Genomic DNA, 19,019 nt, shown 5'->3' with positions numbered 1-19,019 from the left:
GAAACATATACAGAACATGACTCTCTCCTTCCGCATCCCCTCATGTCTGCCAATTCGACCCCCTGCCCCAGCCCTCCGAGGCCAGCGCCCTGGGCCCCTCCCTCCACCTTCCCAGCTGGAGTGGCAGCCGCTGTGTCTTTTCTGGTTTTTATTCCTAGTCCTTCCCTTTTCCGTCCTGCATGCTGTCGCCAGGGTTGTCTTTATTTAGCTCTTCTCTGTGAGGCAGGGCCTCCTCCATTGTCTTCAGCCACCTGCCTCACCTGTGATGCCGGGCACTGCGGGAGTGTTCCTTCGTCTGTGCCTTTGTTAGCTGTTTCCCACCTGGAATTCCTCCTCCTTTCCCCTTTGCCCAAGTCTTCCTGTGCTTCATAGGTGCACCCTTGTGAGACTCTCTGGAGTGCCCAATCTTAGTGGACTCTCCTTTTGCACTCTTACTGCTCTTTTATTTTTTATTTTTACAAATAGCTTTATTGAGATATAATTTACATGCCACAAACAGCACATATTTAAAGTGTACAATTTGATAGGTTTTGACATATGTACACACCTATAAAACCATTGACATAACCAAGATAATGAATTTCCATCCCCCAAAGGTTAGCTTATGCCCTTTTAAATATATCCCTCAACCCTAGACAACTACTGGTCTGCTTTCTGTCACTATAGATTCGTTTACATTTTCTGGAATTTCACATAAATGGAATCATGCCTACGCACTTCTTTTCTGCCTGGCTTCCTTCACCCAGCATAACGCTTTTGGGATTCATCCATGATGCTGTCTGTTTTGATAGTTTTCTCCTTCTCATTGCTAGGTGGTATTCCACGGTGTGTGTGTATCACAATTTATTTTTCTCATTCAGATTTTCACGAATGAGTCTTATTTCCTCAACCTGACTGTCAGCCATTCGAGGGCTAGGATGGTGTGTTCAGACCTGCCCACGATGGGCACTGTGTCTGTTGATGAGAAGCAGTTGTGCTGCAAGAGGCTAGGCCTGTGGTGTCTGGGGCCAGAATGCTAAGTTCGAAGCCTGGATGTGCCACTTGGTCAAATTTCTTAACTTCTTGGTGTCTCAGTTTCATTATTTGTAAATATAGATACTACTACTTATCTGGTAGTGTTATTATTAGGAAAATAAAGTACATAAATGTAAAACTCTTAGAAAAATATCTTGAACATATTTATTATTAGTTACCTGTGGGAGGCAGCAGAGCATGGTGGTTTAAAACCATGGATTTGGGCCGGGCATAGTGGCTCACACCTGTAATCCCAGCACTTTGGGAGGCTGAGGCAGGTGGATCACTTGAGGTCAGGAATTCGAGACCCAGCCTGGCCAACATGGTGAAATCCTGTCTCTACTAAAATACAAAAATTAGCTGGGTATGGTGGCACATGCCTATAGTCCCAACTATTTGGGAGGCTGAGGCAGGAGAATCACTTAAACTCGGGAGGCAGAGGTTGCAATGAGCCGAGATCATGCCACTGCACTGCAGTCTAGGCGAGAGAGTGCGACTCTGTCTCAAAACAAACAAACAAACAAACAAACAAAAACCAAAACATAAAATAACAAAGAAACAAACCATGGATTTGGATTCAAATCCTCACTCTGTCGCTGTGCCTGTGGGAACCTAGCAGGTGCCTTAGCTTTCTCATTGGAAAAGTGAGGGCAGTGGTAAAACATATCCTCACCGTAGGACTGCAGTGAGGATTACATGAGTGATTTAAATAAAGTCCTCAACACAGTGGCACACAGCAGGTGGCATCTGAATGTTAGCTGCTATCATTTATTGAGTGAGTGAAAGGTGTCAAGGGCAGGACCAGAGGGGTTAATCCTGAAGGAGGGCAGGGCACTTTGGGGGAAGGGGGCCTTACTTGTGGGTATTTGATCTTCCTTCTTAGCTGACTGATTGCTGACTGTGGAAGTAATAAGTAAGACCTTCTTGACCTGGGAACTTCTTAGAGGCCTTTGAGCTACTGGATAAGAATGTGTTTCTTCAGGGGCAATTTCACTTGAATTTAATTTTAAGTTTAAATTTAACTTTATGGCTGAATCCAGAGGGAGACTGAGTCCTGGCTCTGCTTCTTATTAGTGGAGCTCTTTGCTGTGTACCCTGTGCTAATCACAGTTTCTCACTCCTTACAACAGTCCTGCAAGGCAGGCTTGAGTACGCTCATTTTACAGGTGAGGAAACTGAGGCACAGCGGAATGCAGCCTTTGTTAGAGTTCAGGAGTTCCTGACTTCAAAGCCTTGTGCTGTGGGGCTGTGTGTACCTTCGAGAAGGCTGCTCTCTGCCCTGGGCCGTCTCCCATTTGAAAAATCAGAGAACTGCACTCAGGCCTCTAAAGTCACTGCGGGCATCAAGAATGTGATGCTTTCAAGAGTTTTGCTGTCCTCCCCACCGCTCTTCCTACCCTATTGTCTGAAGTCAATTTCAGAAATAAATGGATTTTTTTCCCCAAGCAACAACCCAATTTCTCCTTTGGCTTGAGAAATGACTAGCAGTGCGATCCAAGAACTCTCATTTTTCTTTCTTTGCTTGGTTTTAGCACTGCCAACAGAGAAGGCTGTAGTGAAAATTTCCGCATGTTAGTTTACAAAGCAATGTGGCAACCACCTTTCTGAAAGCCATTAGAACCTCACAACCTCCTTTCAGCCTGCTTTTGTTTGCCTGTGAGGCTCTGTCAGAGGGCTGGGTCAGGGACTGGCCCTTGCCGGAGGCAGGGAGAGCTGACCTCTGTGAATTCTGGGCTTCGTACCTAGAATGTCCTGTGCCCTTTCTGAACCTCGCTTTGCCCTCAGTTCCTGGAAGCCTGGGTCCCGGACCACCAGCCCTGTCAGATCTGCACATGCCTCAGCGGGCGGAAGGTCAACTGCACAACGCAGCCCTGCCCCACGGCCAAAGGTGAGAGTCCTCCCCTCCCTGGTGCCTTCATGGAGGAACAAGGGCCCCTGCAAGGCCCCCCAGCCACCCATCTTCACCTCTGGCAGAGCAGACTCAAACACTGGCACCTAGAGTCCTAGAGTGGGTGGGCTTCCTTGCCCAGCCTGCATTTCCCATCACTGGGCCTGGGAGCCCCATTCTGCACCTGGGGTCGACATTCTCAGATTAACCCTCGCCTCTGGTCCCCAGCAACGGTCAGACTTAAGAGTCCCCTGGAGGGTAAATGTGAGGGTGTCAACAGGAACATGGGGACACTCATCTGTCAGAGGTCCCGTGGCCTGGATCCTTGTGGGATGACCGTACAGAACTCCTACTAGTTTTCAGTGAGCAAGAACATTTCAAATCCCTCTGAGGCTGTCCCACCACTAATTTCTCTGACTTTTGTGGCCGTTCCTCTCCTCTAGCTCCCACGTGTGGCCTGTGTGAAGTAGCCCGCCTCCGCCAGAATGCAGACCAGTGCTGCCCCGAGTATGAGTGTGGTATGTGTCCCACCAGGGGGATGTCTCCAGGGCCCAACCCTAGCCCCAGGGGGCACCACGTTGAAGGTGCTGAAAGGTGTCTCTGTTCTCAGGCACAGGGTGTGTGAAAGGAGGTGGGTAAGGACCGACTGGATACTCCAAAAAAGTGGAAAGGGTTACCTCTGGAGAATAGGATTTGCTTCCTAGAAGAATCTACTGTAAATTACTAAACACAGGTTTGACAGGATTAATACAAGAATGGGGTGATTACTGGGGACTATGGAGATATACTGAAGAAAAGGTCATGCCAAAGCAACCCATTTTCATTTTCAATAAGATTTTGAGGCTGCTAGATATAGAGAAGACCACACACTGGGCACCTTGAGTTCAGCAGGTTGTTTGCTAGAGGTTTTCATGCTAGCCTTGCAGGCTGCTCTGTGAATAGTGGGCTGAATAATGGTATAAGTCCGTGAATTCAGAGCTGATGGAATTACGGTTAGCATGGCAGGAAATCATTAGTGCCTTTGTCCCAGTCCTGTCCAGTGTGTTTATTGCTTGTACAGATGAAGACCTAAAGCACAGGCTTGTACAATTTGCAGTGATGCAGATATTGAAGGGAGAGCAGATAGATCAGGGGACAGTCCAAGGAACTAAAAGAAAATCATATAATCGGAGAAACTTATTTGTACTCATGAAATTGATCAGAAATAAATAGAAGTCCTGTAGGGGAGGGAGATGTGGCTTGAGAACAATTAATGTAAAGGAGGTCTTAGAATGTTAGCAGTAGAGAGAACTAGAGGGATCATTTACTTCAAGCCCCTCATTTTATAGACATTACTAGTCTCCTACAATGTGCCGGGCACTTTGCCCTTATTATTTTGTGAACTCCTCAGACTGATCCTATAAGGTAGAGTTCCCACCTTCCAGAAGAAGAAACAGGTCTAGAGGATCCAAGTTGACTTGGCTGAGATGTGAAAGCCCTAGTGGATGATAAGAATAATCAGTATGTGACTTGGATTGATCTATCTGTCTGTCTGTCTGTCTGTCTATCTATCTATCTATCTATCTATCTATCTATCTATCTATCTATCCATCTATCCATCCATCCTATGTATTTATCATCTGTCCTATCTCTATCTAACCTATGTATCTATTTATCATCTATCCTGTCTCTATCTATCCTATGTATCTATCATCTATCCTATCTCTATCTAAGCTATATATCTATTTATCATCTATCCTCTATCATCTATCTATCTATCTATCTATCTCTATTGTATCTAGTTATCTATCCTATATCTATGTATGTATCTATCTGTCTGTCTAATCTATCTAACCTGTGTATCTATTTATAATCTATCCTATCTCTATCTAACCTATGTATCTATCATCTATCCTATCTCTGTCTAACATATGTATCTATCATCTATTCTATATCTATCTGTCTATCTACCCTATGTTTTATCATCTATCCTATCTCTCTCTAAGCTGTGTATCTATCATCTATCCTCTATCTATCATCCATCTATCTATCTATCTATCTAATGTACCTAGTTATCTATCCTGTATGTATGTATGTATGTATGTATCTATCTATCTATCAAATCTATCTCATGTATCTAGTTATCATTCTATCTATCTATCTATCTATCTATCTATCTATCCTAACCCATGTAATCTCTGTCTCCATCATCATCACTTACCTAAAACAGTAGAAGTCTGCATGAATAGGAATGTAGCATCCCACTCACAGGTAATAAAAGAGTAACCTTTCTGAACTCTGCATGGACGTCTCTCTTTCTGGCCCTCAGTGTGTGACCCAGTGAGCTGTGACCTGCCCCCAGTGCCTCACTGTGAACGTGGCCTCCAGCCCACACTGACCAACCCTGGCGAGTGCAGACCCAACTTCACCTGCGGTAAGGCCTCTGTGGATGAGGAGGGGTGGTGTGGCCTCTCTCTGCTGGTGTGAGGGAGGCCATCCTCCTCAGGGACCTCTTCCAAGATCACGTCATTTCCTGTTTTCTACCTAGCTGAATCTGGGTTGGGAGTACATCTGGAACAGAGGGGTTAGGGTCACACCTGCACGGAATCCTTCCGGCTGCACGCTGCTGAAGGATACCAGGTGTGGGCACAGCCACAGGCACCTCCGTCTTGGGTTTATGAAGAAGCAGCTGGGGCTGAGATGAGGAGGCCTCCGAATCTAATCTTTATTTCTGCCCATCCTCCTGTATGTCATCAAGGGGAGGGAATGTTTCCTTGACTTCCCCTCATCATTGGATCTTATTCCCAAACAAATTTATAGTTTTTCGCCTCTGAAGGTGTATATATGTAATCACTATATACTGTAACTTAAACATAGCGATGGACTAAAATAAGACACGACAAGAAACCAAATTCTGTATTTACCTCCCGAGAATCCCCACTCTAACTCCGTTGGCGTTCTTGTCCTGCTGATGTGGACACTCACCCGACTTCCTAGATGTGAGACTTCAAGGTGGGAGGAGAGCACATTGTGTTTGAAGGGAGCTGGAAACAGGCAAAGGACACAGGGACAGGATTTGGTCTTTTAAAAGTGACATTGTGGCTTTGACAAGATTGCTGGCAATCTTTCATTCCACACTGATTGCTGGCGGACCTAAAGTGTAGGGTATTGTTCTAGGTACTGAGGTGGGGATAGGATCACAGAAGCTCCTGGCATAGAACAGTGCTTAGCAGGGCGTGGTGTACCCAGACCTACTGGACTTAGAGATTCTACATCTGACACCTCTGAGAATGAAGGAACCCGCCCCTTCCAGATGTATGTGGGAAAGTGATAGAGCAGGGATTGAGCAGCCTTCACTTCTCCTCCATTAGAGTTCCTAGCTTCACATTTCCCTTTTTGATTAATGTTCATATTTTTCTGCAGATGGACTGCTTTTGGTAACATTGAATAACTCCCAGCCCGTGAGCTTGGCCCTCACACATTTCTGACTTAATCTTCTGAGTCTAAAGCTCCCTGGCACCCTATAGCATAGCTGAATACTTACGAGCCCTGGCTGGGCGCAGTGCTCAGTGTGGCCTTGTCCTACCCTCAGCCTGCAGGAAGGAGGAGTGCAAAAGAGTGTCCCCACCCTCCTGCCCCCCGCACCGTTTGCCCACCCTTCGGAAGACCCAGTGCTGTGATGAGTATGAGTGTGCCTGCAACTGTGTCAACTCCACAGTGAGCTGTCCCCTTGGGTACTTGGCCTCAACTGCCACCAATGACTGTGGCTGTACCACAACCACCTGCCTTCCCGACAAGGTAAGGACTGCTTGGCTATTAACTATCAGTTAATAGTTTACTCATTTATTTATTGCTGTCAGTTTATCCTTCTATCCACCCATCCATTCATCCATCCACCTACCCATCCAATATTTGCTAAGCAACATGTGCTCCTCATGGAAGATTTGCATCCTACCCAGCATTCCCTTCTTGCCCAAACCAAGTGCTACAAGGCTTGGTTGGGGGGCAGTCAGCATTCCAGCTCAGCCTGAGTGGAAATTTAGTTAACTCAGGAGGCATTTCTTGTGAGCCTACTATGTACTAAGCATGGCTAGGTGCTGAGGTTACAAATAATGTGCAGGACATGGTCTTTACCTTTATAAGCTTATTTTAGGTTAGCTAAGGAAATAACATGATTGCATGGATTATTTAGAGATCAGTTAATAGTTATACATACATGTTGAGATGAGGTCTTGCTATGTTGCCTAGGCTGGTCTTGGACTCCTGGGCTCAAGTGATCCTCCCACCTCTGCCTCACGAGTAGGTGAGATTACAAGTGCACACCACCACACCTGGCTACGAGCAGTTAATAGTTTACTCATTTATTTATTGCTGTCAGTTTATCCATCTATCCACCCATCCATTCATCCATCCATCTGCCCATCCAATATTTACTAAGCAACTACTATGTTCTAACAGAATTGGCACTGTGCTAGGTGCTATGGGAGAAATGTTAAGATGAAGTTCCTATGTATGCCCTTGTTAGTATATATGACAATAGTCTATAAACTGAATATAATAAAGTGTCAACGAATGGTACAGATTTTCATTACAAACAGCAGTCTTATAGGTGAAAGAGCCACCAAGATTAGCTATCATTAAAGATTTAATTGATGGAGTGGGAAAGTGAAGGGCGCGAAAGTGGCGGAGTGAGAACTGAAATGAGCCAGAACTGCAGCAGGAAGACCTGAGCATAGTTATAGCTGCTGCATTGAGGGGAGTCCTGACATGAATGACAGACAAGCTGCAGTCATCTCTCCTTGGAGCCTGTTAGGGCTGGAACAGATCTTTATTTGTCTGGAATGCTTAAGACCTCTCTTCCCCTCTGGACGCTCTTCCAGCTCAGGGATTCTAAGCACGCAGTTTTGGAGAAGCGGGAACAAGTCTAGGAGGCTACAGTTGCTGCTGCTGCTTTCTTATATCTCTGTTCTCCTTCTCGTCTTCCTGCCCACCCCTCCTGCCTTGCTGTTTTTCTATTAATGTTTCTTGTGTGTCTTTAATCTATAGTAATGCCACTCCCCATTTTTATGCCTTTGATTTGTTGGGGAAGCTGGGTCATTTGTCCTGTAGAATGTCATGAATTCTGGATTTGACTAGCAGCCACCTTATGGTATTGCATAATGTGTTCCTCTATCCCCTGTATTTCCAGTAGACTAGAAGTTAGACCCAGGGGATTCATTACATTCAAGGTCAATGCAGTAGGGAGGCAAGAATACCTGATCAAGGGTGCCATGTGCATCACACCCAGAGGCACATAATGTCCAGCTGTCCTCCTCCCTCCCTCCCTACGTCACTTCCTTCCTTCCCTCCCTCCCTCCCTCCCTCCCTCCCTACCTACCTACGTCACTTCCTTCCTTCCCTCCCTCCCTCCCTCCCTCCCTCCCTCACTCCCTCCCTCACTCCTTTCTTCCTTCCTTCCTTCCTTCCTTCCTTCCTTCCTTCCTTCCTTCCTTTCTTTCTTTTCTTTCTTTCTTTCTTTTCATTCGTTCTTCTTTTTTTTTTTTGAGATGGAGTCTCGCTCTGTCGCCCAGGCTGGAGTGCAGTGGCGCAGTCTCGGCTCACTGCAAGCTCCACCTCCCGGGTTCACACCATTCTCCTACCTCAGCCTCCCGAGTAGCTGGGACTACAGGCGCCCGCCACCACGCCCGGCTAATTTTTTGTATTTTTAGTAGAGACACGGTTTCACTGTGTTAGCCAGGATGGTCTCGATCTCCTGACCTTGTGATCCACCCGCCTCTGCCTCCCAAGGTGCTGGGATTACTGGCATGAACCACCGTGCCTGGCCTCGTTTTTCTTTTTTTTTTGAGTCGCTCTGTGGCCAGGTTGGAGTGCAGTGGCACGATCTTGGCTGATTGTAGCCTCGTACTCCCTGGTTCAAGCGATTCTCTTGCCTCAGCCTCCTGAGTAGCTGGGATTGCAGGCGCACACCACCACACCCAGCTAATTTTTGTATTATTAGTAGAGACGGGATTTCACCATGTTGGCCAGGATGGTCTCAATCTCTTGACCTTGTGATCCACCCGCCTCGACCTCCCAAAGTGCTGGGATTACAGGCGTCAGCCACCATGCCTGGCCCAGCTATCCCACTTTGAGAGATAGGACTGATTATGTGTTCAGATGAAGCAACCTATTTCTGCATTGTGAAGTTTACCCCATCAACAATTTATAGTTTTACTATTTATAAGTGTTTGTTGTCTAAGATTTATTATGTCATTAGGAGTTTCAAAATTGTGACTTTTCTCTACTTCTATCATACTGATTGCATTTATTAACTGGAATTCTCCCGTAAGAAAGAACTTTCTCCCAACTGCTTTCAGTTACCCTGAAATAAAATTACTTTAGACAAAGTAGAATAAGTGCTTGATTTTTTCTTTTCCAGTTTTCATAGCCATGAGTTGATGCTCTAGCAACTGTCAAGGACAGCGAAAGAGGTTTTTTGTTTTTAGCTTCATTATGAACTCATGGATTCTTATGTGTTTGATGTGTGTTGATTCATTGTAAACTTTATTTTTTTTTGATATTCAAGTTGTCCTCCCTGGGGTAAATGGGGGCTCTTTTAAGTTGGCTCTGGAGCCTGTTGGCATGGCCTCATGAGTCTTTCGTAGCTTTCTTGCTTTCTGAAACAATAAGGCGTGCTGGGCTCACCCTGGGCATTTCCTGCCCTAGTCCTTGGATCTGCCATTTTGACAAAAGTCCCCCTACCTTTTAGTGAAAGTGGTATTTAGGCGGTATGATCTGGGTGCCAAGAATATTTATGGCTCTGGGTTGCCATTGCCTTCAGACCTTTTTGGTGAACAGAGCTTAGAAATGCATATTTTAAGAGAGGATAAAAACTCGTAAATTTGTAGTGGTATTTCTGATTCAAATGAAATTACAGGACTTTACTTCCTTGATTTTTTGCTTGTATCATTTCTCTTCTAAGTTGAAAATTCTGGTTTCCTAACATAATTAACTACTTATTTGCTTTATCTTGCAATATACCTGTAATAGTTTCAAAACTAACCTGTAATCCTAGCACTTTGGGAGGCCAAGGTGGGCGGGTTACCTGAAGTTGGGAGTTCAAGACCAGCTGGCCAACATGGTGAAACCCCATCTCTACTAAAAAATACAAAAAATTAGTTGGGTGTGGTGGTGTGCACCTGTAATTCCAGCTACTCTGTAGGCTGAAGCAGGAGAATCACTTGAATCCGGGAGGTGGAGGTTGCAGTGAGCCGAGATTGTGCCATTGCACTCTGGCCTGGGCTACAGAGTGAGACTTTGTCTCAAAAAATAAATAAATACATAAAATTTCCTTTCAGTTCTTCTAGTCCTAAAAAAAAAACCTCATTGGGGGATATTTGTGTAAATACTAGGTTTTGAAGTCATTTGAAATAACTATTATAATTATATTATGATGTAATATATCATATAATTATTATAAATAATAATTATGTGCCACTGACGATATCTAGTTAATATTTCAATTTGTTTTCCATTTTTAGGGATTGCTTTTTATTTCTTTTAAATTTTAAAATTACTATGGTGTAAAACACTTAAATGATTTTAAACCCCAAATTATAAAACAAGACATATTCCCAGGAGTCTTACTCTGTGTTTTCTCTACCTTATTCCTTCCTCCACCCTATAATTTATATATGTGAATATATATAATATATAATATATATATATAGAGAGAGAGATAGGGTCTTGCTCTGTCACCCAGGCACAAGTGCAGTTATGCGACCTCAACTAACTTCAGCCTCCACCCCCTAGGCTCAGACGATCCTCCCCCTCAGCCTCCTGAGTAGCTGGAACTACAGACATATGCCACCACATCCGGCTAATTTTTGTATGTTTTTGTAGAGACAAGGTTTCATCATGTTACCCATGCCGGTCTGGAGCTTCTGAACTCAACCAATCTGCCCGCCTCAGCCTCCCAAAGTGCTGAGATTACAGACATCAGCCACCGTGCCCAGCCTTTATAATTTTTATTAGTTTTTCTCTTTTTGAAAATATAACTGAATTTTATACATGTATATTTCTTCCCATTTCTCATAGAAAGGAAGCATATTATGAATTATATTTTAAATTGTTCTTTCTCATTTAACAATATTTGATGGAGATTATTCTGTATCAGTGTGTAGAGATCTGCCTTATTCTTTCTTATAGCTGCATAGTACTCCATTGCATGGCAGCACCATAGTTTTGTTTCAACAAGTCCCTTATTGGTGGACATTTGAGTTGCTTCAGCCTTTTGCTATTACAAATTGCAGTAACAAACAGCCGTGTGCATCTGTCATTTTGTGGTCTTGCCAGTGTGTCTTTGGGATAGATTCCTGGAAGTGAGATTCTGGGTCAAATTATAAATACACATTTACTTTTGCTAAGTATTGCTAAACAATTCTTCTCCATAGGGATGGTAACATTTTCCTGCAGGCCTTTTAATAGAACAAGGGGTCTCATTCAATAAGTTCATTATACAGAAGCTAGAAGACTGAGAAGATAAATGATAATGGTTTCAAAATGTTTGAACTGCTATTATGACATTCACAGGGTGGAGACCCGTTTTGCATAACTTTGGAGGGCATACTTGGGATTAATTTCAAAACTGTCATTAAGTCCCGTGATCAAACAGCTTCCTTAGCTCCTCATTCCAACAAAAGGATGTCCGAGCATTGTCTGTGGCGTGCATCCCAGACTTTCCACGTTTCCCTTTCAACCAGCCTTTTTCATCTGTTTTCCCACATCTCTACCAGAGCCTATTGTTCTTCCCAATAGGATCCCTTGTCTCTCAAACATATCCCCTGCTCTGTGTCCCAGAGTCTTTACTTGTTATGTTCCTAGTCACTCGTGGGCAAGGGGACATGCATTCATAGCCCCTGCCCAATTTGCTCGTAAGTGGGCAGAGGGCTCGATGAGGATGGGCTCCAAGTCCAAGGACATTACTGGGTCTGGGCATGTGGGTACAGCTTCTCGGTGACATAGGAAGGAGTGAAGTGCAGTTAAGGCAGGAAGAAGGGAGACCAAGGCAGCCAGTGTGTTGTATTCAAGTCTGTGGGACCATGAAGGCCTCACGAGGGGCCACCCCTGAGAGACTGGTCATAGCTTTTCTAAGGCTGGTGGGCAGGGAAAGGAGGAGGACGAAATCTGCTTTATAAGCAGCCCTGCATATGGGCGGAGACCACATTTGGTTTTATTTATTGCCACATTCTCAGCACTTAGAGCGGCTTCTGTGTAGTAGGTGCTAACTCACCGCTTGTTTCAATGAAACAAATGAGTTCACTCACGAAAACTTATGTCTACAGGTGTGTGTCCACCGAAGCACCATCTACCCTGTGGGCCAGTTCTGGGAGGAGGGCTGCGATGTGTGCACCTGCACCGACATGGAGGATGCCGTGATGGGCCTCCGCGTGGCCCAGTGCTCCCAGAAGCCCTGTGAGGACAGCTGTCGGTCGGTGAGTGGGGCAGGGGCTGGGCATGCCTGCAGCTATCAGAGCGGGAAAGTAGAGGAGGGCATCTTAGGAAGGGTAAGAAAGGTTCTTTTTTTTTTGAAATGGAGACTCGCTCTGTCGCCCAGGCTGGAGTGCAGTGGCACAATCTCGGCTCACTGCAAGCTCTGCCTCCCGGGTTCACGAGGAAGGGCAAGAAAGGTTCTTTAGTGACCTCTGGTTCAAGGCTAGGGGTGAGGAAGAGGGAGGGGGTTAGGGCTGGGTAAGAAGAAAAAGCATGAGCAAAGGATTTCTGCGTCATCCTTCTGCAGTTCAGTCCTTGGCTAATGGTCACGTCTGTTGTATGGCCTTAAGTCTAAAGTACTGGTGGAGTAGGTTTGAGCAGAGACATGGGGAGGACTAAATGCCTAGAAAAGAGAACTTGAAGTTTTCCTTTTTCTTCCACCCTCATGTATCACCTTCGCCTGTCCCTAGAACAAATGTATGCTCTGAATTTTCTAGGATCGTCCTTGTTTCAGTTTACTCTGGTGTTTCCACATAGACTGTTGATTTTCAGACCATGTTTATAACTTGAGGTACGGAAAACATGATCCCTGTTTCCCAAATCCAGTTCGTGGTGGCTGCCCCTGAGGCTCCTGTGTGTGCTGGGGTGCCCTATTCTTGCATGTTTAGGATGGATCAGACTGGAGAAAAAGGGAGCAACAATCTGCAGGGAGGACTGTGGGTAAAATTCTGCTTGCTGGTTTAATGCGATTATTATTACTACATTATTATCAGCAGATAATGATGTTAAGAGAAGAGGTGCCAGGGCAGGCGAGCACATCCATCTTGTGGTTGCTTTTGCAAATGTCAATGGCAGTGAAGGCAGAGTTCCTGAAGGTGTTTTCGAGGTGAATGGTTTGACGGAGGAGGGCCTGAGGGCAAATCCCGAAACCCAGGCCCTTCACCTGCTATTCTACTTGCATTTGGGTACTGAGAGTGAGCGGAGGTGCTCAGTACCTTTGGGAGAGGATGACGCTGTGGTATCCAGGTGTTCCTGTGGGAAACACTAAGTTTTGGAAACCCTTTGGTTTTCTTCTCCTCTCACAGGCCATCTGAGGCCAGGGAAATAACTTGCTGTCAAATAAAGAGAGTGCTGCTTAGAGGTCATTTTTAGAAAATTGACAACCAATATATTTCGTGTTTCAGTGGGGAGTTTTGCTTGCAAAGAATAGAACCCATTCAGGCTAGCTACAATAAAAGGGGATTTGTAGAAAAGATACAGGAGGATCTTTCAGACAGGAAGTGCAGGATTTGTAGGTGGGCACCGTGGTCCTACAGCATGTCTCTCCATTTGTCCTAAGAGCCGGTATTTCTGTCCGTCTGCTCCAGCTCCTCACTGCAGGCCAGCTTCCTCTGTGCAGAAGTTTTGCTTTCTCACACATTTTGTTTACACACAGCTTTGTTAAATCTCACTTCAACTCCACACAGCTTTTCAGATCCGTGGTTCATCCCTGTCCAGTCTGACTTAGTTGGTCTTTGTGTTTCATGGATCAACTTCTCAAGAGGAAAGTTGACAGGCCCAGCTCAGCCCTTGGATCGGGTCCGCTGTCCAGTTCATGCTCTGGTCCAGTCAACTATTGGGGGAGCTGCAGGTCCTGGGGTATAATCCTGGCTGCGTAGAAAAGCTGGGGGAAGTTTCAAAAAGAAGATGAGTAGGGAGGTCAGGGCAGGAGTGGAGGAGGAACCATGTCTAGAACTCTTGACCGTGTGATTGCTCTAGGGAATCGAGTGCCCTGTCTTAGAGGCTGAATGTTCACATCTTCTGGGGAGGAGAAGGGAGCCTCATGGTTTAAAATCTCAGGGGACGTGGGAGGCTGGGCTTCGATCTGTACTGTGTTGAGTGAGGTGGGAGCTTAAGTAAGTTACAGATGGTCTCAGACTTCATTCTGCAAAGAGGGTAGTATTGTTAGCATTATTAGCTCTGGTCCGACCTCAGAGGCACTTGGGCTCATATATGCCGGTCCATGTGTTGTCTAGGTTGTGACAGAAAAGAAAGAACAACACTACCATCATCACCCTGAAGCCACAGTCTGCAGAAACACACTTTCCCCAAGCTCCTCCATAGTTCTCTGCTCTTCGTGTCAGAGGAATGGTGGCAGGCAAGCAGGGGCATTGGCGGCTTCTCAGGAATGTTCTAAGCGGGCCTCAGGCGATGGCCTTGCTTCCATGTCCATAGTGAGAGGAGGCCTGCACCTCTGTACAAGCCTTTGAGGGGATTTTCCATGAAGCCTGATGGCCATCTGACTCCTCACCCGTAGGCTCCTGAATGAGGCTCAGTCAAGGTGTAGGAACTGTATTCTGAGAAGCCAAAGGAAGTCCATTAGATATTATTTACTCTGTGATACTCCTCAGGAAGAAGAAGAGGGAGGGCTGTTCTTCTCAGTATCAGACAGGAAACAGGGCCACCCCAGGGAATGGGGTTGGCCAGAACCTCTGTAGCTTATATGAAGCCTGTGGACACTGGAGGGTCCTGACCCGAGCCCAGAGCTCGTCCTGTTAGGCTGGTACAACCCGCAACTCCAGTGTTGCAAGGGCCAGTCTGACCCAGGAAGTCAGCTTTTCAAACTGTGCTCCTCAGATTGCCTCAGAGGGGACAAGTGACCAGAGCTTGGCATCTACCACCTCCATTTCAGTTATAGCAATTGTGCTTAAAGGATTGTGCTGCTAGATACATTCATAATTTATTTTTCAGTGCATATGTTTTCAGGTTGGGTGGCTAGTAGACCTACTTAGTTTCATTCTTATTTGGGAAACCAATGAAAACAGGGTGGAGAAGAGAGCCAGGAGAAGGGCCTGGGATGTGTATTTTGATACAAGATATCAAATGTCGATATAAGCGAGGGAATTTGTTGGAGGAAGGGAAAATAAAGAATTGAAAAATATAGGTTGGACCCTGGTTGTGCAGCCAGAAAACAGGGTTGCTGTGGGGTATGGAGGGGAATCTTAGAAAGATGGAAATTTGGAGGGATGGCTAAAAGTGTCTGGGTTTGAGAAGCTAGTGGGGCTGTGGGAACAGACATCTGGCCTGGGAGCCATCCGTAATATTGACACTGTTTGCCCATGGTGAGAGGCAACAGGAAACAAAAATAATATGCGAATCTCGATCATTCAGCCTTCTAGAGAGGCGTACGAGAATGACAGCAGATCCCTAAAGGTATTAATTACTGTCTTCTGTGTTCTTTGAGTCTTTGTTTCTGACCCCCTGAGACCTTGTTTTTTTTCTTTAATGGCATTTTGAATGTTCTGCTGTATCTTGGAGGGTGTGTACACAGATTGAGGCATCCTAATTTGTTGTCTCCTCCGTAGTACCTAGTACATCATAGGTGCACAGTAAATGACTAGAATCTTGGCTGATAAAAGCCTGGAGACAGCTCACTGCACACTGCTGGGAGGTGGGCGGTGATATCAGTAGGTCTCGTGGAGACTGGGTGGGGTTGAGCCAAGTCTCAGGAGTGTTGAGACCGTCCAGAGAGAGGCACACGTGTTGTGCATCTTCAGATTCGGCCCTGCTGGGGAGAGTGCTTGGGGAGCAGAGCAGGCTGCCATCCACACCCGTCCTGAACAGCTGTGGTTACTCTTTCTCTCTTAAGGACACAGCTCCAAGATGGAACGTAGTCCTGGGTTCTTTTCTCTTGGCTCCTGGGACAAACACACTGTCATTGCTTTGACTATTCTTTCTATAGACTTTTCAGAGGAGGGTTTCAGTCCATGTTCATGATGCTTTAGCCAGATTGGAGGACCTTCTAGAGGCAAGATGGGCTGACAAACTTCCAGGATGCTGGTCTCCCTGGCATGCTTTCTGGGGAAGCTTTGTCTGTTGCTCTCTCATCTCACTTTTCTTTTGTAAAGAACACCGTACCCTATAAATTACTAGGTAAATGTCAAGTAACCTCTTGGGGAAGCCCAAATCTGCACGTTGGTGAGCAGTATTGGGATCGAGTGTTCGTCTTGTATGGGAGGCTAGCCCTGCGAGAGTGGAGACTGGATCCCAGTCATCCTGAGTGTGCCTCCCGGTCAGTGAGGGTCCCTAGAGTTGGCCATGATAAGGGCCAGATTAGTAAGCTGCTGCTAAGGGAACTCTGGGCTGTCTTTAATGCTCCTATGGACTGGATCATGGTCTCTCTCAAAGTGGGATCTTTCAGGGGGCAGAATTATATCTCTGCAGCTGATGTAAGACTTCGTTTAGTGACCTGGTGGTTGCTGCTTCTTGGCATGGCCCTGAGGCTGGTTGACAACAAAGATGAAAATGCCCAGACCAGTGATCACTTGGCACAACCCCAGGGCTCAGTACGCAGGAGGCGTAGGTAAGAGCCCCTGTGTCTTTGCTGCTGGCCTGTCCTTACTCTGTTTTTTCTGCTTTTCCAGGGCTTCACTTACGTTCTGCATGAAGGCGAGTGCTGTGGAAGGTGCCTGCCATCTGCCTGTGAGGTGGTGACTGGCTCACCGCGGGGGGACTCCCAGTCTTCCTGGAAGAGTGTAGGTCCAGGCCCCCGGGACGGGGAGGAGGGCAGATTGGGGCCACTCCAGGGACCAGCGTTGACCTTGGTTTCATCTCATTCCCTGCCCTTTGCTTTCCCCACTGGGCATTTCACCCAGCTGTTGGTGTTATCCAGATGCCAGCTGGGATGACCTGCCCCTTAGGAACCAGTTAAGACGGCCTCAGCCTTCCCATTTTGTAGATTTTGGGAGAAGCCCAGGGCCCTCCCAGGGGGATTCATGCTCTCTCATTCACCTGTGAATCTGAGGTGCTGTGGCTGAGGGGCTGGTTTTGGGATGGCCTCACCACCCCTCCAAAGTGCCACAGGCTGCAAGTACTGTTCTGGACCACATCAACCCAGGCAGGGTCCTCAGACCTTTTCACTGATTTCTACTGAAACCTCCTTGGTGGTTTTAGGGAGGTGGAAACCTTTACAACCCAGAAAAGGAACAGTATTTCCCACAGTCCCTCTGCTATTTCTGCAGGTCTGGCTGGGGCATCTTGCCAGCCCCCCATTGCCCCACTCTTGTCCTCTCCTGGCTGGCTCACCCCCGCCAGTCCCTTCTTCTAACACAGAGCAGTTCAGCTGTCCCCCATGTGCTGCCAGGTTCTCTCTTAGACTCTGATGCTCATCAAGCCATTTTCTTAAACACAGAGGATTCCGTCTTTGGCGGTTTTAGTCCAGATGCTAGGAGAATCACAGTTCTTTCAGTCTGGTCAGAAGGATAAGGTGGGTGGTGCCAAGTCCTGGCAGCCTTGGGAGCTGGTGCTGGGAACAGGTGAACTGCCCATATGGGCCTTGCCTCTGTCTTCCCCAGCAAGACCAATGCGCTTCCCTTCGAGAGGAAGGCCAAAGGTCTGCTATCTTGTCCTGAGCCTTTCCCATCTCCTACCCAGGCCCATTGCCTTTCTCCTCCCCAGTGATAACAGAATGACTCACTGGGCTTTTTCAGGTGAGTTTCCACCTCCCCCTCTAGTCCGAGTTGCCTATGGGTTCTCTTCCCTGTGTTCTCCCCTCCCCACCTTTTAGTGCTTCTGCTCCCATGTGCCCTGGATGGAGGCAGGTTTTGTTTCTTCTCCCCAGGGTCAAGGTCCAGCTCAGATCAGGGGCTGCCCCATCCTGGTGGGGCTGAGAGCTGGTCCCTTTGCGCTCAGTATTCCTGCCCCTTTCCCCATCTCTCATCTCCCTTCAAGGCCTACCCCACCCTGCCCCTCATCAGTGTTTGCAAAGCATAAGGTGACCTGGGCTTCTCTCCTCTACCTCAAGTCTCCATCTTACCTAAAAGACTTGGGTGTTGGCAATGGCTTTGCTGCTGAACCATGTCAGGGGTCAGCGGGGGGTGGTGGCAATGGGTCCTCTTAATGAGCCAGTGGCCAAGGCTCAGTGAGTGAGTAATCAGAGGAGGGAGAAGTCTGGAGGGTGGAATCAGGCCTGCAGTGGGAAGATTTGGCCACAGGGAGTCAGGAGTGGGGGGTGAAGAGAATGGCTGCAAGTGTTTGGCATTTTCTACACCTCATCTGGAAGGAGAAGAAATAAGCAGGCACCAGGAGAAGTAGGTCAGGGCCTGAGATGGCGGCAGAGGGCACCTAGTTACATATCTGGGTGCTGGCCGACACAGAGGGCACTCGGAGTGACATTTTCTGGGGAAGATCCTCCTGGTGACTTTTCTGAACCATGGTCTTGGGCCCTTTCAGCTTCTTGCCCGTGGTGACAACCCTTGGGGTCAGGCTACCCATGTGCAGTCTTCGTGGACAGATTGCAGGGCTGCAGGGGTCCCAGGCCAGCCTTCCCGGGCTTCTGCCAGCTCCCTGTCTCCCCTTACCATGGGAAGTGGCACCAGCCTGGGAAATGGGTTGAGCTTCCCGGCTGCACCTTCCCACTGATGGCCCACAGTGCTGCTTCTTGGCCGGAGTATCTGAGCTCAGCTCAAACCAATGCTGAGGAAGGGAGGGTGAGTCCCCTGGCTTCTCCAAGGTGCTTGCCTGGGTGCCTCAGTCAGGTGATTTTGACCCAAACTGTTTGAGTGGTGCTCACTGAGACGAGCCCCACTCATCCCCTCCGTGGGCCCTACCCTGTGGTGGGACTTACATGTTAAGCCAGGCTTCACGTCTAGAAACCACCTTCCTGAGAGAAGAGCACATTCCCAATGGG

The 19,019-nt window shown here is 47.0% G+C and overlaps 1 protein-coding gene across 2 annotated transcripts in view, besides 1 other annotated feature; it reads left to right on the top strand.

Moving 5' to 3' along the window:
* VWF (von Willebrand factor) overlaps positions 1–19,019 on the top strand; it is a 175,794-nt gene that overhangs the window by 136,206 nt on the left and 20,569 nt on the right. For both annotated transcript variants that reach the window (NM_000552.5, XM_047429501.1), the window contains exons 39-44: positions 2,800–2,902; positions 3,346–3,420; positions 5,211–5,315; positions 6,474–6,679; positions 12,205–12,354; positions 16,756–16,866. In NM_000552.5, coding sequence (NP_000543.3) covers positions 2,800–2,902; positions 3,346–3,420; positions 5,211–5,315; positions 6,474–6,679; positions 12,205–12,354; positions 16,756–16,866 — 750 coding nt within the window. The remainder of the gene's footprint in view (positions 1–2,799; positions 2,903–3,345; positions 3,421–5,210; positions 5,316–6,473; positions 6,680–12,204; positions 12,355–16,755; positions 16,867–19,019) is intronic.
* Positions 18,285–18,898: an enhancer, noted in NCBI's record as "NANOG-H3K27ac-H3K4me1 hESC enhancer chr12:6078733-6079346 (GRCh37/hg19 assembly coordinates)". NCBI's record gives its function as "activates a minimal SCP1, AML or CMV promoter by ChIP-STARR-seq in primed H9 embryonic stem cells {active_cell/tissue: H9 hESC(primed)}" and the evidence as "EXISTENCE:reporter gene assay evidence [ECO:0000049][PMID:30033119]".

Source organism: Homo sapiens, chromosome 12 (genome assembly GCF_000001405.40).
Source record: "Homo sapiens chromosome 12, GRCh38.p14 Primary Assembly".
NCBI classification, from domain to species: domain Eukaryota; kingdom Metazoa; phylum Chordata; class Mammalia; order Primates; family Hominidae; genus Homo; species Homo sapiens.
This window is presented reverse-complemented; position numbering and strand designations above follow the sequence as displayed.